A 26,684-nucleotide genomic window follows, 5' to 3' on the forward strand; every position below is an offset into this window, starting at 1 on the left:
TGGGCACAAAGATCAATGGACTAAAGTTGGAGTCCAGTAATAAACGCTAACATTTATGGTTAGTTGATTTTGAAAAGATGCCAAGGCAGTTCTATAGGGAAAGAGTAATATTTTCAACAAATGATGCTGGAATAATTGGATATCCTCATGAAAGAGATTTATTTAGGCCTGTACCTCATACTAAAAAATTAACTCGAAATGGATCATAAATCTAGATGTTAGAGCCAAAACTATTAAACATCTAGAAGAAAACATAGAACATCTTCAGGACTTTAAGTTAGCCAGAGTGTTTAGACACATCATCAAAAGCATAATCCATAAAAAAAGTATTTCATCAAAGTTTAAAACTTTTGTGATTCAAGAAATACCCATTATGAAAGAGAAGCCACAGACTGGAAGAAAATATTTGTAAATTATACATCTGATAGAACTCTTACAACTAATAACAGGAAGACAAACAACTCAAACTAAAAAAAAAAATGTAAAATATATTTGAATATGCTTTTCACCCAGGAAGCATATTCACCCTGCATTTGCTTTTCACTTAGGAAGATGGATGAGTGACCAGTAAGCACATGAAGCTACTCAGCATCATGAGTCATTCAGGAAATGCAGATCAAACCACAATGAGATACCACTTCACACCACGTAGAATGGCATTAGTCAAAAACAAAGGACAATAACAAGTATTGTCATCCATGTGGAGAAACTGACACCTGGTTGCTGGTGGGAGTGTGAAATGGTGCAGCCATCCTGGAAAACAATCCAGCATTTCTCTAAATGGTTAAGTGTAGTGTGGCTGATGACCCCCAGTTCAACGCCTAGTCATATACCCAAGATAATGGAGAACATATGTCCTGTATCTGAATGCTCATACCACCATTCCTCATAATAACCAAAAAGTGGAAAAAGCCAAAATGTCTATCAACTGGTGAATGGATAAACAAAATGTGTTCTGTCCATACAATGGAACACTATTCACCCACGAAAAGGAATGAAGGTCTGACACACGCTGCAACACGGATGAACCTTGAAGATAATATACTCAGCCGGGCACGGTGGCTCATGCCTGTAATCCCAGCACTTTGGGGGGCCAAGGCGGACCGATCACCTGAGGTCAAGAGTTCAAGACCAGACTGGCCAACATGGCAAAACCCGTCTCTACTAAAAATACAAAAATTAGCCAGGTGTGGTGGTGCATGCCTGTAGTCCCAGCTACTCGGGAGGCTGGATGGGGCAGGAGAATCACTTGAACCCGGGAGGTGGAGGTTGCAGTGAGCTGAGAACGCACCACTGCACTCCAGCCTAGGCGACAAAGTGAGACTCTGTCTCAAACTAACAAACAAAAAAAAGACAGTACACTCAGGGCGGGGGGGGCGGAAAAACAGACACAAAAGGCCACATATGTATGATCCCACTTACGTGAAATGTTCAGAATAGAGAAGTCTCTAGAGATAGCAAGTGGATTCCTGTGTCAGGGTCTGGGGAAGGGATTGGAAATTGATTGCTCAGGGGCACGAGAGACCTTTCTGGGGTAGTGGGAACGTTCTAAAGCCAGATCGTGCTGGTGGCTGCACAGGCCTGCAGATGTACTAAGAGTGGTTGAATTGTACAGTGGATAAGCATTGTGATGTGTACACTATATGTCAACAAAGCTGGGAAAAGGAAGCGATCAGAGGTGATCCAGAAGCGATGCTGCCCCCAACTGAGGCAAAGGAAGAAGAAAGAACTTAGAAATGTTCCCAGAGCAAAAACAGCCGTTTTCTAAAGAATGACCCCACAATTGGTTCAAGTCGAAGAGCCTCCCTGAGGAATAACAGCTTCGTCACCCATCTAGTTTGGGGGTTGTTTCTATAGTAACCTGTGACATGGCCCCCTTCCCAAAAACAAAACAAAACAAAACAAAAAACAGAAACAAAGACAATGAATCCCTGAGAACAGTGAGAAAGAGAAAGCTCTTGCTTCTTTTGGCCTATGGAAGGGTGTGGCTGTTGAGCTGAGCCTTGGAGTTCCTGGGTTTGCCGGTTTCCCCGTCTGGCAGTGCTGGGGGCTTTGAGCCAGCAACCTCAAAGAACGCCCACGCCAGGGAGGCCAGTGTGCACGCAGGTATTGATGTTGGCTTTCCACGGGTGCAGTGAGCTGCGTGATTGATACCCATTTCCCCATAAAACAGCCAAGCCAGGGAGGCCAGCATGCACACAGGTATTGATGTTGGCTTTCCATGGGTGCAGTGAGCTGCATAATGGTTTGGGGTGAGGATTTAAATGTTTTGAGACAGGCACGGCTTGCCTCTGTTTTAAAGGTCAGCTGCTGCCATTTCAAAGATACATCCTGTTACTTTGCCAAGAGGCCTCATTCCGTGTTGCTGGGAATCAGCAGCAGTGCTGCTCTGACGTGGCTGGTGGCTGTCCCAAGCCCCCACGCCTCCCTGACCTCTCGCTGCCCAGCACTCCCCTCTCCAGAGGCACTCACACCAGCCATGACTCCCCGTCCCGATGCCCACATCCCATGCCTGTCTGCTGTGCCCTGTCCACAGCACAGCTGGCTCAACACATGCGGCATCCACACCGGGCACCGTGCTTTGCCTCACACCGCTGAGCCTGCCTGGCCCTGCGTGGCCCACGTGGCTGGAGTACGGGCGTGGGGCAGGCTTCCGTGATGGCGTCAAGAACTGGGCGCTTCCTGCCTCTCTCCTCAAGGCCCCCAGGGCTGGCTCATTCCAATTGGAGCCCCTGCTGCGGTTCTCAGATGCCCTGTGTGTGTTTCTTCTCCGGGATCCCTGGCCCATTCCAGAGCAATCACAGACCAGAGGGACAGTGCCCCGTTAGATCAACCAGATGCACTCCAGAGTGGCGAGCGTGGTCACCATCCATGAGGGTGCCGGTGTGTTGGGGGAATGCGAGGAGGGGAATGGATGCCGCGTCAGCCACCAACAGCCCTGACGGGCCCCTGACTTCCTGCACTAACATTGTCCCTGTGCTCACATCTGCCCAGTACCACTGGGGCCATTCTCACCTATGGCTCTACCAGGTGCCCAGGAAATGCCCCCAAACGGGCAGGATGCTCACAAGGCAAGGCCACCTGCCCTGAAGGCCGCGGGGGCCACAGGGTAATGGAAAGCAAAGGGATGGGGGAATTATCCCCAAATCAGTCACACGCCTGATGGCAGCCCTGTCAGAATCCCTAGGGAGGTTTTTTGTTTTGTTTTGTTTTTGGAGGGGGATGACTTTGTAGAGAAACTGCATTTTTTCTTAAAAATGTAAAATGATCTGCAATGCAAATATACCATGTTCTGTTTAGGGCAAGTAGCCTCTTCTGATTTTGAGTCTACGAATAATCAGAAGCACTGAAAATTCCAAAGCAGGAGTTAAAGTCCTCAGCAGCGCTTGGGTGTGTGGTGGGGTCCGTGATGGATGCTGAAACCGTGGGCTTCAAAGGCCAACACAGTAGGGAAGGAGAGGGTCTCAGAGGAGGGGGCAGGTCGGACCTGGTCCCCCCCCCAGCGTGGCACCCTCAGCCCTTCTCAGCTCTCGGTGCCTCAACATTGCTGGCGGGTGTAAGCCTGGGGTCATACCAGCCTCTGAGCGAGCTTGGCCCCTTACTCACCATTTCCAGCCTCACCTTCCTCTCCCATTGAAGGGGCACGAGAGTAACAGCTCCTTTGTGGGAATGTAAGGCTGGTACGGCTTCAGCTGCATCTCTGAGCCCTTTTGCCAAAAAGGAGTCACCGAACCAAAGAGCTGCACCCAACATTAGCACCCACTCCCACCCCAGAGAGGGCTTCCTGGAGCCCAGCAGGGGAGGGCAGGTGTGCAGGTGGGAGGACGGGGAACGTGGCCTCCCTCCACGTGGCTTGTGGTCTGAAACCCCCACCTCAGACATCTTCAGCTTCCCAGGCAGCAGCTGCCTGAGTGGCGGGTGGTATCTGGGGCCAGGAGACCTGATTCTGCCTGGCTGGGCCTCAGTTTCCCAGGAGACAACCTGGACAGGGTCACGCCACCCCCTCTCAGTGGCACCTGACTTGGGACTCCCTGCCTCCCTCCTGCCTGCCCTTCCTTCTCCTTATTCCTGGGGTCTTCCAGAAAAGTGCCGATCCCGGAGTAAGATTTGAGGGGCAGTTCCTTTGCTGGCCTCAAGCCCTCTGTGTACCCCTTCCCCAGGTGCAGAGTGAGGGCATCTGGTCCTCCAGAAGAGCTGGACTAGGAGCTTAGTGTGTTCCCCGTGTCACGGGGCCTCTTCCACCCCCTGGCTCACGGACCCCATGCTGGCTGCACTGCCTGCCACTCCCCTCCCGGGACCAGCCTTCTGGAAGGGGGTGTTGAGCCCATGAGGAGCTCCATGAGTCGGGAAGCAGGTGGGGACGGCCGTGTCCACAGCATCACCTTGGCAGCTGATGGGCAGGAGGACAGGTCCAGGCAGCCTCCAGGCACGTTCCTGTTTGTGTGACATTCACCGTGACATGGTGCATGCTGTGGCACACAGGGTCCTGTATTCAGATAAGCCAGGGCCTCGGAGGAACTCAGGCGGAGGAAAGAGCCGGAACACAAACACAGCGCGACCTTTCCCGGGAAGCAGCCCTTCCACGAATGCGCCCTGGGCCCCCCTGCCATGCCCTGGGCCTCCATGGCCAAGAGCCCGTCACTTCTACCACCCGCGACTCCACTCAGCCCAGTTGAGCCCCAAGAGCCTCTGCTGAGCCCAGCCCGGAAGGGCGAGGGACCCTGGGTGGCCAGAGAGGGCCGAGTCCTGTCAGGATGACTGGGCTCCTTCAGGACAGGCACCCATGTGTGACGGGGACATGCAGGGACCACTGCGGCTGCCCTGGCCCAAGACGCCCTGGAGGCCAGGCGGGCAGAGCCCCTTCCTCCCCGAGAAGGTGGGACTGGGCTGGGCTTTGAAGGATGACAGCGGTCTGGTGGATGCAGGGCACGGACAGAGAAGGCCACACACTAAAACACACAGACCAAGGCTGGCGGGAACTTTGAGGTCAAATCCCGGAGCCCTCGGAGGGGGACTCAGGAAATCAGATGCTCAGTAGGGGGCCGAGTTTGGAGCCTTGGCCTTGGGGCAGGCGCCGTGTCCAGCAGAGGGGCTGCTGCCCGCCACGGCTGGCCTTGCCCTTGGTGTTGGCCCCGGGGAAGTGCAGGGTGCAGGAGAGACACCACAAGGCCCTTGGGTGTCCTTCCTGCGGCTCCCTTCGGTCACAGGCAGGTGACACATCTGTGTCACCGCATCCATGCAAAACACTCTGTTAGAAAAAAGACAGGAAGGAAACTGTTCCATCTCACGAGTGAGTCACTGCGGAGGTGGGATTGGAAGTGATTTTCTCCCCTCTTCCACCTTTCTAAGATTTATAACACGTGTGCTTCCTTTAAACGTGTGTCAGGAAGTGACCTCACTAGGGCATTGTGTCTGGGCAGGAAGAACCTCAGGACTCCCTGGGTTTACTCATTTGAGCGCCAGCCTCCAGGAGACGGGGCAAAGGGCTGCTCGTCCTCCGTGACCAGGCGGCCCCTCTGCCTTTGTCTCATGTGTGGTCAACGGGGTGGCTGAAAGGCTCACGTGTTCCTCTAGCCCGGGGGACCTGAGAAACCTGACTGTCACCGTGTCTCTGTAGCCTAGTCGGTGGCCTGGCAGTGGACAGAGGCCCTGCAGGCCACCAAGGAGGACGGAACCCCGGGGACAGAGGAGGAGCTGCAGTGCGAGGAGTCCAGGCCCTGACCACAGCCCCACCCTCGGGACACCCCAACCCCTGCACCCTCTGTGCTTGTCTTGGGGCATTCACTTTTCAACTCCATGGAAAATATTGTGACAGTAACGTGGGAGCAGCAAGAACCCAAATAAAAGAACGTGTCATTCACGCTGCCTCCCTTTCTCCTGAGCTGCAGGTACCAGCACATCCGGGCACTTTTTCCATGGTCCGCTGTCCTAATCCTGACTATTTCAGCACCCAGAGAGCAAGCCGAAAACAAAAACACCCATCACCCATGCCCGGCATTAGAAAATCTCATTGGTATATGTTCAGATTATTTTAAAAGGAAATTAAACTCACAGATATAGCCAGGAGTAGATGGAGTTTGTGGGGCTTAAAATATACGTAAACTTTAGGGGTTACTTTAAATAATAATAGCAATATGAATCCAAGTTAGATATGAAAAGAAATATTTATTTGAAGTGATAAAAAATCACAAGGCTCGCACATGAAAAAGCTGATAGGTGCAATAAACATCACCAAATGGAAGAAAAAAAATTTGATTAGTTACTCCCAGGCATACCTCTATCAAACTTATTTTTTCTATATCTCTTGGCTGCTACCCCTTGATTACTGCTTCCTATGAAAATAATTTTTCATAAATAGAATGGAAAGGTAACTCAGCCTTCCCGCTGACGTGAGGTTCAGGTTGGTTTCTCATCATCAGTTGGGGGCTGCGTGACACACGCGGCCGCCGTCACGATGTGCATGTGGTGATGCTGCCACGGGCATCTGCCCCGTAAGCAGCAGCTCCGATCAATTCTCCTTTGCGAGGTGACCACCAAAGGACTGCAGAGCTGGCCGGGGCATTCGTGCGTGTTCATGACCGAGAACTTTTCACACAGAGAGGACTTCCGTCTTGACGAAGGAGCGCAGAGCTGGCCGGGCATTCGTGCATGTTCATGACCGAGAACTTTTCACACAGAGAGAGAAGACTTGTGTCCTGACGAAGGACCACAGAGCTGGCCGGGGCATAAATGCCTGTTCATGACCAAGAACTTTTCACACAGAGAGAGAGGACTTCTGTCCTGACGAAGGAGCGCAGAGCTGGCCGGGGGCATACGTGCGTGCTCATGACCGAGAACTTTTCACAGAGAGAGGACTTCTGTCCTGACATCTTTATTGTATTATAGATGCGTTTAAGGCTGTAAACTTGAAGTTTATATTTCTCTTTATGTAACAGTCTCTTCATTGTCGATTCTAGTTTATTGCCTTGTAGCTACAAAGGGCAGGCTCTGCTGCGTTAGTTCTGTGAAGTTCCCCATATTGCCTGGTATGTGGCCTATTTTAAAACTATTCCATGTGTATTTAATAAGAATTAGCAACTAAAATTTTTCATTGTAACAATTATAACAATATAATTGTTTAGCTTTTGAGGCAGTGTCTTTGTATACTTTACAATGTTGGTGCCAAAGCTCCAACATTGCTGTGAACTTTTAACACCCTCGCCCTCTGTTTCTAATGGAGAAGTTCTGGCGTCTCCCGTTCCGACTGTGTATTTGACCCCTTTGTTCTTCAGTCTGTTTTGGCTTCCTGCATTTTGATGCGGTATGCCTTCACATTCATGAACATTCGTCTTCTTGTGATTGTGCTTTTAATTGTTTTCATGTTGGCGCCCTTTTCATCTATACTGATGAAAAATAAATCATGCTTTTGTCTAACAGGCTTGTTTATGTATTTTGAAAATTTATTATCCCTGCCCACCCCTTTCCACTTCCCTCTCCATGCATCGCTATTCTCCCGTGCTTAACGTGCATCTTTTTGTTCATATGAACCCATGCATGTGGGCACAAGTGTGTTTTGTGTGTGCATTCTTGTTCATATGAACCCATGCGTGTGGGCACAAGTGTGTTTTGTGTGCATTCTTGTTCGTATGAACCCATGCATGTGGGCACAAGTGTGTTTTGTGTGCATTTAGCACTCTTTAAATATGCACTGAAACAGAACCTTTCCCCCACCATCAAAGTCTGCACCATTTGTGTTTGTACAGCCAGCAGGTAGTTTGCCTTGCTGACATCATTTATCCCCCTGACCTCGGTCTCCTATAGACTTGCTAAAATTCTCCCTTTCAAATTTCCTTTGATGGAGACCAGTGAGTGGTAGACGCTCTCAGTTGTTGTTGTTGTTTAATTTTTATTATTATTATTTTTTCGAGATGGAGTCTTGCTCTGTTGCCCAGGCTGGAGTGCAGTGGCATGATCTCAGCTCATTGCAACCTCTGCCTCCCAGGTTCAAGCAATTCTCCTGCCTTTGCCTCCTGAGTAGCTGGGATTACAGGTGCACGCCACCATGCCTGGCTAATTTTTGTATTTTTAGTCAAGATGGGGTTTCACCATGTTGGTCAGGTTGGTCTCAAACTCCTGACCTCACCTTGGCTTCCCAGAGTGCTGGTATTACAGGCATGAGCCACCACACTGGGCCTCAGTTGTTTTTTAATGTCCGAGATGTCTTTATTTTGCCTTCAATATTTTATGAAAGTTGCACTGAGAATAACATTCACAGGTAAATGTGATTTCTCCCGGGTCTGTTAAAGACGTCACTCCACTGTCTTCCGGAAGGCAGCGTTGCTATTGAGAGGTCTGCCATCAGTCCACATCCGCTTTTATGGTATGTAGTGTGGCTCTTCTTTCTGGTCATTTTGACTTTTTTTCTCCTTTCCTGGATGATCTGCATTTCACTGTAATATTCTAGGAGTGGATTTCTCAATTTTGATCATTCCTTGGTAATTTAGATCTGGGGTGTCATCTTCATGTCTTTTCAATTCTGAAGAATTCTGAGCTATTCTGTTGCTTTGTTGCCATTTTAGAAAATGTTTTTCTTTCAGAACTCCTATTCTGTTTATATTGGAACCTCCTGATCTATTCTCCATGTGTGTTAACTTTGTGCATGTGTGTGCATGTGTGTATGTGTGTGAGTGTGCATGTGTGTGTGTATGTGTGCATGTATGTGCATGTATGTATGAATGAATGGTGTGTGCACGCGTGTATGTCTGCGTGTGTATGTGGGTGTGCATGTGTATGGGTTTGTGTGCATTTGTATGTGTGCACATGTGTGTGTGTGCATGTGTGTGTGCGTGTGTGTGCATGTGTGTGTGTATATCTCTGTGTGTTGTGTTTTCAGAGCTGCTGCACTCTAGTTGGTTTCCTCCACTCATTTTATTACTAGCTCCAGGCTGGAGACTGAATCTATCTGTAACACCTCAATTTCTCTTTTGAATTTTTCTGCTTTCATTGATTTTGTTAGTACTATCTTCCATGACACTAAGTCTCTTTTCTACTATGTCAAGTCTGGAATTTAACCTGTCTATTGAGTTTTTTATTCACTTTATTATTCATCTTCAAGATTTGTAATTATTTCTATTTCGTCTCTCCTTATTTCTTATATTCTGGCCAGTTCTAATTTTATACTTTATATATTTTTAAATCACTAGGCATCTTGATCATACTCCTGCAGTTTTAAAGTGTGTGTCAGACTTTCCTTGGCTGGTGTAAGTTCCTGTACCAATTGCTCATTTTTAGCCTGCCTTTCTTAGTGTGGTGTTTCCTTGGGTAATTTGGAACCTGGCCTTTCTAGCTTATTTCAAGGTGAGGATATTGTGTCTCTGCATTTCTGCCTTTCTCTGCCATCTTGTTGTCACTGTCCTCTGTCTAGCAGTGTTTTGTAGCCTCTGCTCCCATCCCGGGTCCCAGGCTTCTGCTCTGCAGTGATGCAGAGCATGTCACAGATAAAGTCATCCTTTCCAAGGACGGCTTGTCTCAGCTTCTGCCCTTGAGGCTGTGTTGATGTCCTCTTGCCTTCCTATGCCCACAGTGCTCCACTAAGTTATACGAAGTTACAGCCCTGGGATGTGTCAAGGAGGGTTTCTCAGCCTTCTTTCTGGAGTCAGGGAAGCCCCTCCCATCACTCCCAGGAGCCGGACCTAGGCCCTCTCTGCCTGCCTTGGGACTTGGAGCTGACAGGCCCCTGCCTCTGCCCCATCACCAGCCTGTGCTTCTCCTCCATTCCTTGTTTTATGTGAGTGTGTGTGCGTTTGTGCATGTATATATGTACACACATGCATACACACACACACACCTGTCTTGGTCTTCTGTCTGTCTGACCTATTGCTGCTCTGTGTGTGGAGCAGAGAGGGTCGTTACTGCACACCTTGCTCAGGACAGTGGACACCGTCTTTAAATGCACACGGGATCGTGTTCACACAGGAGGGTCCCTTTTTTTCCATGATGAATCTGAGGCCAAGTAACCTGCCCAGAGATGCAGGAAGCTCAGCTGAGCCCCAAGCCCACGGCCCTCGGACTCCAACCCCAAACCCCCTTGACAGTGTGCACGTCAGCAAGTGTGGGATGGCTGGGGGGCATCTGTTACGGCTGCACACGTCCCCAGGAGGCCTGCACACCCTTCACTCCCTTCAGTTTCCCTTCAGGTGAAATCTGCAAATCTGCTCCTCTGGACCTGGTCCTGTCCAAGTGATCCTCTGGGATTAACAAGCTGTTATTCACCAGCCTCCAACAATAATGGCAGGTTATCTGCTCCATTGCAGAACTGGCAGTGGTTTACATCCAGGAAGGGATTGGTCAGTCTCCTGTGCCAGGTCCCTGGGGGACCCTGAGCCCAGCGGTATAAAGGGCGGCTGTGGGAGGACTGGTACAGCCTCTCCCAGCCCCAGCAAGCGACCTGTCAGGCGGCCGTGGACTCAGACTCCGGAGATGAAGCCCCTGCTCCTGGCCGTCAGCCTTGGCCTCATTGCTGCCCTGCAGGCCCACCACCTCCTGGCCTCAGACGAGGAGATTCAGGATGTGAGGCCCGGATGGGAAGGCTGGGCTGGAGGGGGCAAGGGGCGAGGCTGAGACTGGATGGAGACCCCATGCCTCCTCCATCCAAGGAGACCCTCGTTTTTGGGTTGGGCATTCAAGCCCTGCCCTGAGGGAATGGTGGGATGGGGCAGCAGGGGTCTGGGCTGGCAGGGTAGGTGGCGCAGGGGTGCAGAGTGGGCAGGGCTGGGAGGGTGGGGGTCTGGCTGACTTCACTTCTTCCCTGGGGATGAGGGCTCCTGTGGTCCTGGCTGGCTTGTGGGGGCTGGAGCCACCTTCAAGTGGGCCTGGCGAGGGTGCTGGGTGTTTTCTGGGTGGGTTAGATTGGGGAACGTTCCCCGTTTCCAGCCCTCGGGGTGCGGTAGAGTCTAGGGGCTGCAGGCCAGGGAAGGGGGAGGCTCTGGAGCAGTCGGCCTGAGCCTGATAGAGAGGGGCCTTCTCCAGGTGTCAGGGACGTGGTATCTGAAGGCCATGACGGTGGACAGGGAGTTCCCTGAGATGAATCTGGAATCGGTGACACCCATGACCCTCACGACCCTGGAAGGGGGCAACCTGGAAGCCAAGGTCACCATGCTGTGAGTGTCTGCCAGCCGGCCGGGCAGCCTGCAACCTGGTCTAGGGCCTTCCCTTTCCCCACCCAGGAGAGCTCTGGTGCTGGGGAGGTGGGCAGACCTGCTGGGAGGCCTCTCTCGGCCCCTCCTGCAATGCTTGAGGGCAAACTGTGCCACTGAGGTGCCTCGGCTGGAGGGGCCCTGAGGGGGCAGAGGCCCCGGATCAGACCCTGTGGGCTACCAGTGGCAGCCCTGGGTACCGCCCACTTCCTCCTCCGACTAGGGAATGTCTGGTGACGTGCAGGCCCCTTTGGGAAAAGGTGTTTACCCCCGACCAGAGTCAGAGCCAGTCCTGGCAGTAAATTTCTGCTTTGGAGAAGTGCAGGGATGGGGCTTGCAGAATGACCAAGAGGGGGCATAGGAGAAGACACCATGGAGAAGACCCCCTTGAAATCCCTGTGTAGCGCTCACCTGTGCGGCTCTCACCTGGGCTGCTTCCACCCGCGTGGCTCACATCTGTGACTTCCCACCTGTGTGATTTCACCCGCATGGCTCCCTCCTGAGTGGCATGCAGTGCCTGTGCTCCGGTCCTGGGGGCTGAATCTCAGGAAGTCACTGACCCTGGCAATGACCCCGATTTTTTTTTCCCCCAAAGCCCCTCACTGAACCTTTCCCTCTCTGGGCCAGATGATGATGGATATGGGGCTTGTGCCTGAATGTCTCTAAAAGGAAGAATGCAGCTGGCGGGATGAGGCTCAGGCCCACGCCACAGACGCTGCCTGCAAACCAGGCAGCCTGGGTGCCTCTGGCAGGAAATGTGTTGGGGGCGGGGGGTTTGGGAAGGCAGCCACCAGGAGGAGCGGTGCAGAGCTCCTGGCCATCTCGGGAGACCCCGGGAACTGCCGCATGGGACCCGGAGGGGCCGCTGGTGCCTGGGTCTGAGATGCAGAGAAGCACCCTCCTCCATGGGCCTGTGGCAGACTCGGGGCCACATTTGCAGGGCATTGCAGCATGGTTGCTCCAGGGCCGGGGGAGGCACAGGCCAGGGCCGCTTTGCCAGGGGGCTTCTGTTTTCCAGGATAAGTGGCCGGTGCCAGGAGGTGAAGGCCGTCCTGGAGAAAACTGACGAGCCGGGAAAATACACGGCCGGTGAGTCCCGGGGCCTGAGCCAGAGCCTGAGCTTGAACACACGCTGGATGTGCGGGGGCAGCCAGTGCCTTTTTGGGGTGGCCTTTTGGCCTGGGAAGCCTTTTGCTGCCTTCTGACTCCACTAAAAGCCCACTCTCTTCTCCCACTGGTCAATTTGCATTAGAGACTTGAACACCTGACCCCAAACACCAGGTGTGGCAGGTTTGTCCCGGGGCGGACCCTCTGGGCTTGCCCTGTAGCCCTGGCTGTGGCTCTGGCAGGGCCAGGAGCAGAGTCGTATTTGGCTGCGGGGGGCTGTACCCCAACTCCCACCTCCGCAGACCTCATACCCGGAGGAACCCCCCGTGACTCACTGGTTTGGGATGTGGCCGCCTCTTGGGTACATCAGGTTCCTGGGAAGTGGGGGTCCCATGGCCTGGGGCTCAGGCCTGGTGGGGAACCTGGGTCAGGGAGCTCTGGGAGGCTGGGAGGGTGCAGGAGCTGCGGGGCTTGCTGGGCCTGGCAACGCACGCTGTCCCGGGATCCTCTCTGAAGTCCCTGGTGGCTAATTCAGGAATGTGCTGCTGTCTTTCTGCAGACGGGGGCAAGCACGTGGCATACATCATCAGGTCGCACGTGAAGGACCACTACATCTTTTACTGTGAGGGCGAGCTGCACGGGAAGCCGGTCCGAGGGGTGAAGCTCGTGGGTGGGTCCCGCACCCTCACCCTGCAACCCATGCCTCCACCTGCCCTCCCTCCTCCCTCGGCCTCCTGCACCCTCTTCCCCATGGGAGAAGCCACTGGGACCCAGGAACCCACTGCAGTTTTCTTAGGATGAGTTTTCCTGATAAAGGCCTCAATTCCCACCCCTGGAGTTCAGGATTTGGGATGCCCCGGCCTCGGTATCTGCAGCAGAGGCAGGAAGGAGCCACGGCTGCAGGCACAGGGGTTCAAAGGTCACACATGTCCCAGAGTGGGCCAGGCCCTCCCCCGGAGCAGCTCCCTGCAGTGTCATCCTTGAGCGCGTTCCTGTGGGGTGTCCAGCAGGAGAGAGGAACAGGGATGTGAGCAGAAGTCTGCATGGAAAGAACGTTCCAGCTCCCGGGGTTGAATTCCGGACGCGGTGCCTCCCACAGATGGTGACTCATCAGTGCTGTCCCTGTCAGAGGACGAGGCCCATGAAGGCTCCTGAGTTCTCCCTGGAGCCAGGGGTGTGCGAATGACAGAGGATTGGGATCCTGGTGCCCCCAAGGGGAGAGGCGCTTCCTCCAGGGTGGGCCTGTCGTGCCGTCCATCCTCACTCCGGGAGATGCTCAGGGATGGATGGAGAGCCCTTCCCGTTCTCCCGGTTCTGCTGCCACAGGAGCCTTCTCAGCCGTGCACGGCACCCTGGTCCCACTTTGCCAGCCTGAGGGCCTCTGGGTTCAATTCCCCCCACGGTGGGCGAGGTCCCCTTCCCCAGCCCAGCTCAGGCCTCCAGACTGGGATGGGGTGCCGTCGGCCCAGTGCTGCCTCGAGCACCCACATCTCGTCCTGGCACCCACAGGCAGAGACCCCAAGAACAACCTGGAAGCCTTGGAGGACTTTGAGAAAGCCGCAGGAGCCCGCGGACTCAGCACGGAGAGCATCCTCATCCCCAGGCAGAGCGGTAGGAGGCATGGCCCTGCAGAGCCCCCCATGTCCCCGCGTGGGGACATCAGCAGAGCTGCATTGCACGGGCGCATAACTGTGCTGCGTCTAATTCTGGCTTTGTCCTTCCTGGGGTGGTGGAGCTGGTGGCTGATGAGGGGCCCCGGTCCTGACTGCATTCCTGGGGTCTCCTAACGCCTGTGCTTCCTTTTCCTGCAGAAACCTGCTCTCCAGGGAGCGATTAGGGTGAGTGAACAGCTTTAGAGGACATTTGAGAAAATCCAGTTCTGGGGCTCAGTGGTGCTTCCAGAGGCCATGGGGTCTCTCCCACCCATCCCACTCCTACCTGGGTGGGAGATGCCCCACGTAGGTCAGGCAGGTGGGAGCTCTGCTCCTGAGCTGCCCACGCTCGGGCGTCAGACTCCGTTCTTGCCCTGGGTGTGACTCCTGGGCAGCTGGGAAGCCCACAGCGCTGAGCCCGCCTTTGCTGGCTGCTGGTGGAGACGGTGTCTACCCCCCAGTCACATGGGCAGGAGCAGGCAGGAGATTCGGGTTCCTCCTCAGCACCCCTCACCCTCGGCCATGCCTGTGACTCCACTTACCCGATAAGTTGCTCAAAGATTCAGCAAAGTGGCAGGCGTGCCTGTGCTCGCTGTGTCAGATGGGCCCCTTGCTGGCTGCACAAGGGGACCAGAGTTTGGAGACTCGCCCAAGGTCACCTGCCCAGGTGTGGGCAGAGCCAGAATCCTGGACAGCATCGCTGTCCTTCCCGCACCCTCCCCTTGGCCTGCAGTCACCCTGATGCCACTTCACTCAGCAGGGAGCTCTGTCAGCAGCCTGCGGGGGTGGTCCCTGCTCCATCCGCTCCAATCTAGAGGCTGGAGCCCCCACCTGCAGCCCCCAAGAGTCCGTGTGTGCCCCCCACACCATCGCCCCCAAGAGCTCGCATGTGCCCACCACACCATAGCCCCCTAGAGCCCGGTGCACGTCCCCCACACCATTGCCTCTGAGATCCAGCACGTGCCCCCGCAACCATCGCCCCCGAGAGCCCGCATGTGCCTTCCACCGTAACCCTCAAGAGCCCAGTGTGTACCCCCACCATAGCCCCCGAGAGCCCACATGTGCCCACACACCATAGCCCCCGAGAGCCCACATGTGCCCCCCACACCATGCCCCTGAGAGCCCACATGTGCCCCCCACACCATCACCCCTGAGAGCCTGCTGTGCCCCCCACACCATAGCCCCCGAGAGCCTGCATGTGCCCTCCACATCACAGCCCCCAAGAGTGCAGCGTGTGCCCCCCACACCATGCCCCTGAGAGCTCACATGGGCCCCCACACTGCAGCACCCAAGAGCCCACATGCGCCCCCACATTGCATCCCCCTCCCACCCTTGCTGTCCTGGCCTCACTCACCCTCCCCCCCTTTCCAGGGCAGGGGACACCTTGGCTCCTCAGCAGCCCAAGGACGGCACCATCCAGCACCTCCGTCATTCACAGGGACATGGAAAAAGCTCCCCACCCCTGCAGAACGCGGCTGGCTGCACCCCTTCCTACCACCCCCCGCCTTCCCCCTGCCCTGCGCCCCCTCTCCTGGTTCTCCATAAAGAGCTTCAGCAGTTCCCAGTGACTCCGCCTGTCTGTGGGGTCCCTCGGGGTGAGAGGTGCTGGCTGGGTGCTCTTTTGGGTGCAGGGACTGGGTGGGAAGCAGGAGGAAGGACAGGGAACCAGCCTGGACCCAGTTCTCCCTGGTGGGTGCCACAGGCCAACAGTGGGAGGGGCCTAGCAGGGGGGTGTGTGCTGGAGGCTGGGCCTGAAGGTCCCGGGGTGCTTCCTGCAGGTCAGCCGCCCGCTGAGCTCAGGCTGTAGGGGTTGCGGGGGTGGGGGCAGGGCTCCACTCCTCGGTCCTGCACAAGTAAGACCGGAAGGCCTGGGACCAAGCGCAGCTGCCACCCAGAGGGGACTGGGCAGAGCCACCAGTGCCCTCAGCACTGATGCTGAGTCCGTGAGGCTGGACGTGGGGGGAGGGGACAGCAGCTCAAGGCAGGGTGTGGCTCGGGCTTGAGCTCACCGGGGAAGCCAGTCCTGTCCTCCGGGGAGCCACACCAGCACTGCCCCCAGAGCCTGGCTCCACGCTGTCCCTCTCTGTGCCTGGGTAGGTTTGGGACAGCAAGTTCCCAGCTTGGGGGCAGCCACCAGAGGTCCCACCTGGCACAGGCGCCTTTCCTGACCCTGGCGGTCTGTAGGATTTAAAGTTTCTTTCGATGGCGCAACATCGCACAGTGACGCTGGGAGCGAGGAGAGGCAGACTCTTAGTGACTTGCTGCTCCGCAGGAGAGGGCAGTTGCCAGGCAGGGCCACACGGGGTGGCTTGAGCCTGGGACAGGACAACAGCCTGCAGAGCTCAGGGTAGGGAGCAGAAAGTGTAGCGGGTGACCCGGCTGCCTGTGGCCAGCTAACATGGGTCATTTCTCTGCTCCAGGGCTTAGGGGCTGTCCCTGGTTGTCTGGTACCTGGCTTTGGAGCAATGAGGGCTGGTGGGGAGCGGCCCCCCAGTGGGGCCGTCTGATTAGCGCAGGGCTGCCGTGTGGACCAATCAGCTGCTCAGGAAGGGGCCGGCCCCTAACCAGGCCTCAGTGCTCGATTCTGGCCAGGCATGGTGGCTCAGGCCTGTGTTCCCAGCACTCTGGGAGGCTGAGGTGAGAGAATCACTTGAAGCCAGGAGTTGGAGACCAGCCTGGGCAACATAGCGAGACCCCATCTCTAAAAAAAAAAAAAAATTAGCCAGGCTTGGTGGCGCAACCCTGTAGTCCCAGGTACTCGGGAGGCTGAGGTGGGAGGATTGCTTGAGCCCAGGAGGTCGAGGCTCTCCCTCATGCCGTAGACCTTGTGACGGCACAGGTGCGTCCTCCCCACTATGCCTCATGTCATAGACCTTGTGACCTCACAGGTGCATCCTCCCCACTATGCCTCGGGTCATAGACCTTGTGACCTCACAGGTGCATCCTCCCCACTATGCCTCGGGTCATAGACCTTGTGACCTCACAGGTGCGTCCTCCCCACTGTGCCTCGGGTCATAGACCTTGTGACCTCACAGGTGCGTCCTCCCCACTCTGCCTCATGTCACAGACCTTGTGACCTCACAGGTGCGTCCTCCCCACTATGCCTCATGTCACAGACCTTGTGACCTCACAGGTGCGTCCTCCCCACTCTGCCTCATGTCACAGACCTTGTGACCTCACAGGTGCGTCCTCCCCACTATGCCTCATGTCACAGACCTTGTGACCTCACAGGTGCGTCCTCCCCACTCTGCCTCATGTCACAGACCTTGTGACCTCACAGGTGCGTCCTCCCCACTATGCCTCATGTCACAGACCTTGTGACCTCACAGGTGCGTTCCCCCGCTCTGCCTCATGTCACAGACCTTGTGATGGCACAGGTGCGTCCTCCCCACTCTGCCTCATGTCACAGACCTTGTGACGGCACAGGTGCTCTCCCTCATGTCATTGCTGACACGCATCACATCTATATATGCTGGAGACGCCACAACACAGCACTGCAGAGCATGCTTGAAGCAGTCCCACATGTGATAAAGGAACAGAAAGGGAGTTTTCTCTGTACCCACAGACCTTCCGTGCTGAGTGCTCTTTGATCCTGAGTGTCCTGTCTCCATGCTGATCACGTCCCTCCAGCCTGAAGAATGGCTTTTATTAGGTAGGTGCAAAAGTAATTGCAGCTTTGGCCACTAAAAGTAATGACAAAAACCCCAATTACTTTTGCACCAACACAACCTAATAGCATTTTTTATACTGCTGGCTGCTGCCCACAGATTGTTTCCATTTTCTTTTATCTGCATGTGTTTCACTTTGCTTTTACCCTTGAAGGATATTTTCAGCAGACACAGAATTCTCGGCTGGACGTGGTGGCTCATGCCTGTAATCCTAGCACTTTGGGGGGCCAAGGCGGGAGATCACCTGAGATCGGGAATTCAGCTTGGCCAACATGGTGAAACCCTGTCTGTACTAAAAATACAAAAATTAGCCAGGCGTGGTGGCGCATGCTTGTAATCCCAGCTACGTAGGAGGCTGAGGCAGGAGAATCGCTTGAACCCGGGAGGTGGAGGTTGCAGTGAGCCGAGATCACATCGCTGCACTCCAGCCTAGGTGGCAGAGTGAGACTCTCTCTCAAAAATAAAATAAAATAAAATAAAATAAAATAAAATAAAATAAAATAAAATAAAATAAAATAAAATAAAAAGAACTCTTGACTGCAGTTCTTTTCCTTCTGCACTTTACAGATGCGGTTTCCCTGTCTCTGGCCCATGTGGTTTCCAGTGAGATCTCAATGCTTAGTCAGCTCATGCTTCTGCTGTATGTAATGTGTCTTTTTTCTCTGGTTGCTTGAAAATTCTGTCTTTAAATGTGGTTTTTGGCACTTTGACTTTAATGTACCTAATGTGTTTTCTTTCTGTTTATCCTGCATGGGGTTTTCTAAGCTTTCTGTATCTGTAATTTCATAAAACTTTTTTCCTCAAATGATTCTTCTGCCCATGATTGCTTTCCACTCCATCTGGAACTCAATTACATGGGTGTTAGGCCTTTGGATATTGTCTCTCAGCTCTCTGAGTCTCTCTCTCTCTCTCTCTTTAAAGAGACAGGGTCTTGCTCTGTTGCCCAGGCCAGACTGCAGTGGCACAATCATAGCTCACTACAGCCTGGAGCTCCTGGGCTCGAGCTCTTTTTGTTTTCAATATTTGTTCTCTTTATTCATAGGGCTGGATTATTTCTATTTATGTATCTTCCTGTTGACAGAGGTGTCTCAAGTTTTCTCTTCGCTGTATCTGGTGAATTTTCCTTCCATATGTTGTGATCTTTAGTTTTAGAATATCCCTTTGATTGCTGTTTGCAGTCGCTGTTTCTCTGCTGCCTCCATGTTGGCTCCGAGTCAGTCCTCTTGAGAACGGTCACATTTTCCTTTCTTCATGTGTATAATAATTTTGGATTGTATCCTGAACAGTTTGAATGATGTATAAACTCTGGGTTTTGTTAGGTTTCTGCAAAGAGTGCTGGTTTTTGTTTTTGGTTTTTGGTTTTTGGTTTTTGTTTTTTTAGAAGGAGTTTCACTCTTGTCGCCCAAGCTGGAGTTCAGTGGCACGATCTCAGCTCACTGCAAGCTCCACCTCCCGGGCTCAAACGATTCTCCTGCCTCAGCCTCCCGAGTAGCTGGGATTACAGGCACCCACCACCAGGCCTGGCTAAATTTTGTATGTTTAGTAGAGACGGGGTTTTGCCATGTTGGCCAGGCTGGTCTCAAAGTCCTGACCTCAGGTGATGTGCCCACCTCGGCCTCCCAAAGTGCTGGGCCTCCCAAAGTGAGCCAACACGCCTGGCCTGGTTTTTGTTTTGAAGCAGGAAGTTATTTGACCTCCAGCTGTCAGCTCTGCCTCTTCTGTGGTGCACAGCAATTCAGTTCACATTTCAGTCAGTTCTTCTAGGCTTTGCTGGGCTGCTTCGTGTCTTTCCTGTGTGTTCATTTTTTAGGGGTTAGCCTGAGATTTGGACGGTTTCTGCCTAGAACTTGGGGCTCTCTCTTTGGCTCTCTTCTTTCTTGAATTTCTCTCTTCACTTTCCAGCAGCTATCATTGCCTAGGACTCTGTCCTCTGGTTCTTCAAGCCAGCAAAATTGCAAGGTGTCTACCAGAGCTTGATCTGCTCCATGTGGTGCAGACAGGGACTGCCCTCCAGATAAAAGCAGTGAGAATGGGAAACTCATCTAGTGCTGTCACCTTCTTCCAGGTGCTAACCGACCTGCAGTGTCTGTTTGCCCAGGGAGAGTGGTTTCTGCATTTTGTCCAGAGTTAATCATTGCTACTTGAGGGAGGCTTGGTCAGATGGGAGCTCCTAGACCACGATGGGAAGTGGAACTCACCATTTAGCAAAATGCACTTCACAATCCCAATAGGAGAGGGCACGCTTGAGCTAAGAAATGGCCTAAGTCACCGATGTCTCCCACTCTGCAGGTAGAGTCACTGGTTACTACCAATGCGGGAAAATGTATCCAGCTTATCTTGACTGGAAAAAGGTACCATCATGTGTTTAGAGTCACTATAAAGAGAACACAGGAGGTGAGGGTCTCAGGTGGGGTCTCCCTCGGCCCTGTGTAGAGCACACTCAGATTGCTCTGCCCTCCAATCTGGCTGTGCTGGGTTGAGGGCCACAACAGGGACATTACCAGCCTGCAATGCAATCTGCCTGGTGTGGGCTGGGCACGCTTCAGCATCCGGAGAAAACCTTCAAGCGAGGAGTCATGGGCCATGGGGCATGCGGCCGGGAGCTGCCTGTGTACACGAGGAGGATGCATCTGGGAGCACACCATTGGGGTCTCACATGACTGTCTGTCCCCCACCCCTCAAGCCGCACAGATACACACAGCCCCATGGGATCGTCACTGAAGCTTCATCGGCCATTGCATTTCTGGGATCCCTTCACCCTCTGGGTTGTTTGCCCAGTGGGAAAGCTGCACATTCATCTCCAAGGTGTCTGAGTCCTGGGTCAGCGCTCTCATCAGGCTCTGGTCACTGTAGTGGCTTTGTCATGGTCACCACTGGGCAGGGAGGCACCTGTGGGTGCTCCCCTGAATCTCCTGAATTTTAGACTCACTCCTCTCTGCTCATCCTAAGTAGCAGCCACTTCACCAGCTCACAATAATCAGGGTTAACTACCCACCAATATACACAATCAGGGTCAATTACCTGCCAACATACATAATCGGGGTTAATAATTACCCACCAATATACACAATCAGGATCAATTACCCACCAATGTACACATTCAGGGTTAATTACTTACCAATATGAATAATTAGGGTCAATAATTACCAACATATGCACAATCAGGGTCAATAATTACCCACTAAGATACATAATCAGGGTCAATTACCCACCAAGATACAGAATCAGGGTCAGTAATTACCCACCAAGATACAAAATCAGGGTCAATTACTCACCAAATATACATGATTAGGATCAATTATCCACCTATATATAATCAGGGTCAATAATTACCCACCAATATACATAATCAGGATCAATAATTATCCCCCACTATACATGTTCAGGGTCAATAATTACCCACCAATATACATAATCAGGATCAATAATTATCCCACACTATACATGTTCAGGGTCAATAATTACCCACCAATATACAAAATCAGTCAATTACTCACCAATCTACATAATCAAGGGCAATAATTACCCACCAATATACATAATTAGGGTCAATAATTACCCACCAATATACATAATCAGGGTCAATTACCCACCAAGATACATAATCAGGGTCAATAACCCACCAATATACATAATCAGGGTCAACAATTACCCACCAATAAACATAATCAGAGTCAATAATTACCCACCAATATACATAATCAGGGTCAATTACCCACCAAGATACATATTTAGGGTCAATTACCCACCAAGATACATAATTAGGGTCAATTACCCACCGAGATACATAATCAGGTTCAATAATTACCTGACAATATACATAATTAGGGACAATAATTACCCACCAATATACATAATCAGGGTCAATTACTCACCAATAAACATAATCGGGGTTAATAACTACTCACCAATATACATAATTAGGGTCAATTACCCACCAAGATACACAATCAGGGTCAATAATTACCCAATAATATATATAATTGAGGTCAATTTCCCACCAATGTACATGCTCAGGGTCAATAATTACCCACCAATATACATAATCAGGGTCAGTTTCCCATCAATATGCATAATTAGGCTCAATAATTACCCACCAAGATACATAATCAGGGAAAATTACCCACCTATATACATAATCAGGGTCAATTACCCAACAATATACAGAATCAGGGTCAATAATTACCCACCAATATACAAAATCATGGTCAATTTCCCACCAAGATACATAATCAGGGTCAATTTCCTACCAATATGCATGCTCAGGGTCAATAATTACCCACCAATATATATAATCAGGGTCAATTTCCCATCAATATACATAATTAGGCTCAATAATGACCCACCAAGATACATAATCAGGGTCAATTACCCACCTATATACACAGTCAGGGTCAATTACCCACCGATGTACATAATCAGGGTCAATTTCCCACCAGTATACATTATCGGAGTCAACCACTCACCAATATACATAACAGGGTCGATCATTACCTACCAATACACATAATCAGGGTCAACTACCCACCAATATACATAATCAGTATAAAATACCCACTAGTATACAGTAACTCCGTTCTTTACCCGCTCATCTGCAGGCATGAGGATCCCAGTGTGGCCTGGTGGAGCCAACACAGCAGGTTTTCTGGAGCATTCACTGTGCTTCCTGGTAGCAGAGCTTTCCCTCTTGGTAACCTAAAGCTCTAATCTCACATAAGCTAAGGCTGCAGGGGTGGCAGCTTTATATGGTTATAGCTTTAAATGGTTATAGCTTTAAATGGTTCTAGTAGGAAAAATAAATGCTTAAGTCAATGGCCCAAGCCTCCACCTTAAGAAGAAATGATCAAATTGTGCCTAAAGAAAGTAGAAGAAAGGAAATAATAAAGAGAAGAAATTGACAATGGGGAAGCAGATGGGGTGGGTGAGTGTGCACCCCCACATTCTGATTCCTTGGCCATTGGGGTTCTATGCCAGCTATGGGTTTGTTGCCCCTCAGTTTCAAATTTGCTCTTAATTATCCTGCGTGTGACTGGAGCTAAACCCTGTCGACGTTTCTCCTTCGTAACTGGTGCACTGTTGGGCCTTGTTAACAGAGGGCACGGGGGTCGCTGGAGGAAGGGGCTTCCCTTTGGATTCAGGGGTCTTCTTCATTCTCTGTCCTGAGGGGCTTGGCTGGCAAGCTGGATGCCAGGTGGAGCTCAGCCCCAGTGAAGTCAGCAGTAGCCCCGTGGGTGGCTTTTGGTGAGTTCTTGGATACCCAAAGTCAGCAAACTTCTGTGCCATCCCCGGGGCCGCAGACACACCCTCTCCAGGGAGGCCTGAGCGCCTTCCAGGTTGTTCCTACCCCGGTGCGCAGCCTCGGCCCTGGGGTAGAGCTGGCTCCCATTTCTGTTATTTCTGTGGTTTTAGAGTCCTCTTTCCCCATTGGTAACCCCTCTCCTGTTACCAGTTGGGGATTCTTTACAGGAATTTGCTCTTCAAATGACTGCGTGACCTGTCTCTGACACCCTTTCTGTGTGAACCACGGCCTTTACTTTCTGAATTTGGACACTTTGACATCTGGAGCCTTGCTAACCCTGGAGGAAGTGCTTCTCCTGGAGTTGGCTAATTTCTAGAAATAGCAGATGACTTGCCTGTAAGTGTGCCTTCCATATGCAAACCGGTAACCAGTCAAGAGCCCACACCCTCCCCAGGGCAGGTACCATCTGTAAGTGTGCTTCCATATGCAAACCAACCAGTCCAGAGCCCACACCCTCCCCAGGGCAGGGACCAGACAGCTAGGGACAGCCAGCCCCCACACCCCAGGGCCCGGGACATTATTGAAACCAGCCCGCCCTGAGCCTGTTTACCCTGCTTCCTCTGTTCCTTCCCGTGGGAAACGTGGGAACCGCAGTGCAGGCTCCGCCCGCACTCTCCTCCTGCTCCCAGTGCCTCCAGACAGGCTCTGGTGCTTCTGTGAGGCCCCGCCCCTCCTGTTTCTAGGGGCCTAAGTGTAATAAGCCTCCGTCCCACAGTCATTCCTATGGCTGTGTCTCCCCCACCAGCCTAAAGCAAACCCTGGGAACCCTTCAAACACCTGCAGTGCAGAGTCCTTTCTCCATGTTATGTGGGGCCGCTCTGGTGTCCCAGCCCCTGTGAATGAGGTCACGACGCCAGCTCAGCCAGTCCTGGAAGCCATCTGAGAGCTGCTCTCCTGCTCAAGCCAATGTGTGAAATACGGCATTTTGGATACATCATCACCAGTGAGCCAAGCTGGACGCTAGTTAAAGCGGTGAGGACAGGTTTTATTCAGCAGCTTCTCAGAGCCAGGGACAGACTGGTTCCATGCCACTTTGTGCAGGGGAGAAGGGGTGTTCTGAAGGGAGAGTGGTTGGGGGTGCGGGAGGGAGTGGGGGCTCCAGTGAAGAGTTACAGAGTGCTGGTCAGGGTCAGTGCAGTGGGGCCAGCTGTGTGGCAGTTATGGAAGGAGGACTCTGTCCCCCAACAGAGTCTGGAAGAAGGAGGCCCATTCTTCCTGAAGGTCACATTTCTAAGGAATGGCTCTCAGGTCCTTGAGAAAGATTTCTTTTCTTTTTTCTCTCTTTTTTTTTTTTTAGACAGAGTCTTGCTCTGTCACCCAGGCTGGAGTGCAGTGGTGCGATCTCGGCTCACTGCAACCTCATCCACCTCCCAGGTTCAAGCAATTCTCCTGCCCCAGCCTCGCAAGTAGCTGAGATTACAGGCACCTGCCACCACACCTGGCTAATTTTTGTATTTTTAATAGAGATGGGGGGGGGGGTTTCACCATGTTGGCCAGGCTGGTCTCAAACTCCCGACCTCAAGGGATCCACCCACCTTGGCCTCCCAAAGTGCTGGGATTACGGATGTGAGCCACCATACCCAGCCTGAGAAAGAGTTCTGCGTTGTAGGAGAAATAGACTTCTCAAAGGGGCAGAGGAAGGAGTCACAGGTGTAAGCCCTTTTTAGCAAAAGCTCTAAGAAGGGGCAGCTGGGTGCTGGCCAGGACACACAGCAAATTCACCTGCAGTGCCGAGCTCTCAGGCAAGCATTTAGGGGGCTGGGGCCACCCCAGGGATGCGCCTCCTGCTGTTGGATGCCATGAGAGCTTGGCGATCTCCTGTCTCCTGGTGCAGGGGCTTGGGTGGAGCCGATCCATGCTGAGAGCTCTGCCGTGCTCAGTACATACGCACTGACACACTCAGCACATACGCACTGACACACTCAGCTTGGGTCCACATCGGAGCGCGGTTCTCCTGGTGTAAAGCCCCTAGAATCCATCCCGACACAACTGCCTCGGGGTAAGATGTCTGAGAAAGGGAAGTCTCATCTCCTCACGCAAAGGAGGAGGGGATGATTCTGCCCAGGCAGGTTCAGGGGGATTGGGGAGGGGAGGAGGGGGTGATTCTGCCCCGGCAGGTTCAGGGGGATTGGGGAGGGGATCAAGATTCTCACTTCCATCTGAGATCACATAAATGTCCCAGTTCTGTGTGTCATGGTCCCACTCCTTAAGCAGTGACCCAACTTTCACATAAAACACTTGGCGACTTTTGAATCCAACTCACCATGCAACCCACACTATTAAATGTGGAGTCTGATTTTCAGCCATTTCTGCTCTGTGGCTGCAAGAATGAAATATTATTCTATGGTCAGGATGGAATGTCTCCAGTGTCTTGCCTGTTACTCAAGCTCAGACCTTGGCATTTCCTTTCTGAAAGCCCCAGATCAGTCAGGCAGCCCCCGCCCCCTTCTCCTTGCAGTCATGATTACCACGTTTGTGGCCAAGCACAGCAGCCAGTTGGCTTCCCAAAGCCTTGGTTCCAGTGGGTGCCACGTCCCAATGAGCAACCACAGCAAACAATTTAGGGAATTGTGGTGTCACTTCATGCCGTGCCCATGAGTATCCCATTTTCCATCGACGAGATGCCCTCCCTGCATCTGTGCACACCCAAGAAATCTGCACACGCGCCTGTAGACATGAGAAAGCCCTGTGGTTGACAAGGGTGGGAAGAACGACTCCAAAGTTCCACTGAGTGAGGGGGAGAAGTCAAATAATTCCAAGTGCTTTCCCTCCTTGAGCTGCAGGAGAAAACCGTGAAGAAATGCATCCTCTGGTTGTGAGGCTGGGACTGGGAACAGATATTCACGCTCCCCTTCAGCCGACGGTGCATGGGGTCTTAGAACGCTTTCATTTGTTGGTCAAAAAACCCACAACCACAACCGAGCATGCAGGTTTTGCTGAGAGAACTTCAGATGCTTCATTCCAGCTCTTCTTTTCAGTATGTTTCACGGGGCTAAAACGAAGGTTGGCAGGGCTGGTTCCTTCTGGAGGCTCTTGGGGAGGAATCTGTCCCTGCCATTTCCAGCTTCCAGAGGCCTCCACATGCCTTGGCTTGTGGCCCCTCCTCCACCTTCAAAGCCAGCAGCACAGCCTCTTCTACTTCTGTTCATAAATATTCTCTCTCCCCACCCTTCTCTCTCTCCCTCCCTCGCTCCCCAGCCTCTCTCCTATAAGGGCCCCTGTGATAACAGTGGGCCCACCCAGATAATCCAGGCTAATTGCTCATCTCAGATCCTTCCTGAATTATATCTGCAAAGTCCCTTTTACCATACACACATCCATAGGGCCAGGGATGAGGATGTGGACATCTTTAGGGGACCATTATTCTGTCTACCACATACACACATCCACAGGGCCAGGGATGAGGATGTGGACATCTTCAGGGGACCATTATTCAGTCTACCACATACACACATCCACAGGGCCAGGGCTGAGGATGTGGACATCTTCAGGGAACCATTATTCAGTCTGCCCATGGGGGGAATTGGCAATCAATAGGACTGCAAGGAAATGAACAGGGTGTCTCCGGGGAGTGATGTGTCGTAATGGAGCGCAGCTCAGGGAAGTGACAGGGAGAGTAGGGGCTGCATCTTCCATTGTGTAGCCTGGAGAGGCTTCTCTGGGGAGGTGGTTTTTAAAATTTTTATTTGATATATATTTCACATGCCATCATACTCACTCTTTAAAAGTGCCCAATTCAGTGGGTTTCAGTAAATTCACAAGGCTGTGAAACCATCACCACTAT

The 26,684-nt window shown here is 52.5% G+C and overlaps 1 protein-coding gene across 6 annotated transcripts, besides 6 other annotated features; it reads left to right on the top strand.

Moving 5' to 3' along the window:
• Positions 393-956: an enhancer, noted in NCBI's record as "NANOG hESC enhancer chr9:138403278-138403841 (GRCh37/hg19 assembly coordinates)". NCBI's record gives its function as "activates a minimal SCP1, AML or CMV promoter by ChIP-STARR-seq in naive H9 embryonic stem cells {active_cell/tissue: H9 hESC(naive)}" and the evidence as "EXISTENCE:reporter gene assay evidence [ECO:0000049][PMID:30033119]".
• Positions 3,862-4,543: an enhancer, noted in NCBI's record as "H3K4me1 hESC enhancer chr9:138406747-138407428 (GRCh37/hg19 assembly coordinates)". NCBI's record gives its function as "activates a minimal SCP1, AML or CMV promoter by ChIP-STARR-seq in naive and primed H9 embryonic stem cells {active_cell/tissue: H9 hESC(naive and primed)}" and the evidence as "EXISTENCE:reporter gene assay evidence [ECO:0000049][PMID:30033119]".
• Positions 6,033-6,533: an enhancer, noted in NCBI's record as "H3K4me1 hESC enhancer chr9:138408918-138409418 (GRCh37/hg19 assembly coordinates)". NCBI's record gives its function as "activates a minimal SCP1, AML or CMV promoter by ChIP-STARR-seq in primed H9 embryonic stem cells {active_cell/tissue: H9 hESC(primed)}" and the evidence as "EXISTENCE:reporter gene assay evidence [ECO:0000049][PMID:30033119]".
• Positions 6,534-7,034: an enhancer, noted in NCBI's record as "H3K4me1 hESC enhancer chr9:138409419-138409919 (GRCh37/hg19 assembly coordinates)". NCBI's record gives its function as "activates a minimal SCP1, AML or CMV promoter by ChIP-STARR-seq in primed H9 embryonic stem cells {active_cell/tissue: H9 hESC(primed)}" and the evidence as "EXISTENCE:reporter gene assay evidence [ECO:0000049][PMID:30033119]".
• LCN1 (lipocalin 1) lies at positions 10,401-15,501 on the top strand. Of its 6 annotated transcripts, none has more exons than NM_002297.4 (7): positions 10,401-10,548; positions 11,008-11,138; positions 12,193-12,263; positions 12,841-12,951; positions 13,791-13,892; positions 14,093-14,119; positions 15,305-15,501. In NM_002297.4, the coding sequence occupies exons 1-6, from the start codon at positions 10,459-10,461 to the stop codon at positions 14,116-14,118; spliced, it is 531 nt and encodes a 176-aa protein (NP_002288.1). In that variant the 5' UTR covers positions 10,401-10,458; the 3' UTR covers position 14,119; positions 15,305-15,501. The 6 variants fall into 6 exon arrangements, with proteins under 6 accessions (NP_002288.1, NP_001239546.1, NP_001239547.1 ...); NM_001252617.2 differs by having other exon boundaries at positions 15,310-15,501; NM_001252618.2 differs by having other exon boundaries at positions 13,795-13,892.
• Positions 13,266-14,149: an enhancer, noted in NCBI's record as "H3K4me1 hESC enhancer chr9:138416151-138417034 (GRCh37/hg19 assembly coordinates)". NCBI's record gives its function as "activates a minimal SCP1, AML or CMV promoter by ChIP-STARR-seq in naive H9 embryonic stem cells {active_cell/tissue: H9 hESC(naive)}" and the evidence as "EXISTENCE:reporter gene assay evidence [ECO:0000049][PMID:30033119]".
• Positions 15,972-16,625: an enhancer, noted in NCBI's record as "H3K27ac-H3K4me1 hESC enhancer chr9:138418857-138419510 (GRCh37/hg19 assembly coordinates)". NCBI's record gives its function as "activates a minimal SCP1, AML or CMV promoter by ChIP-STARR-seq in primed H9 embryonic stem cells {active_cell/tissue: H9 hESC(primed)}" and the evidence as "EXISTENCE:reporter gene assay evidence [ECO:0000049][PMID:30033119]".

The sequence above is a fragment of the Homo sapiens genome, chromosome 9 (assembly GCF_000001405.40).
Source record: "Homo sapiens chromosome 9, GRCh38.p14 Primary Assembly".
Taxonomy (NCBI): domain Eukaryota; kingdom Metazoa; phylum Chordata; class Mammalia; order Primates; family Hominidae; genus Homo; species Homo sapiens.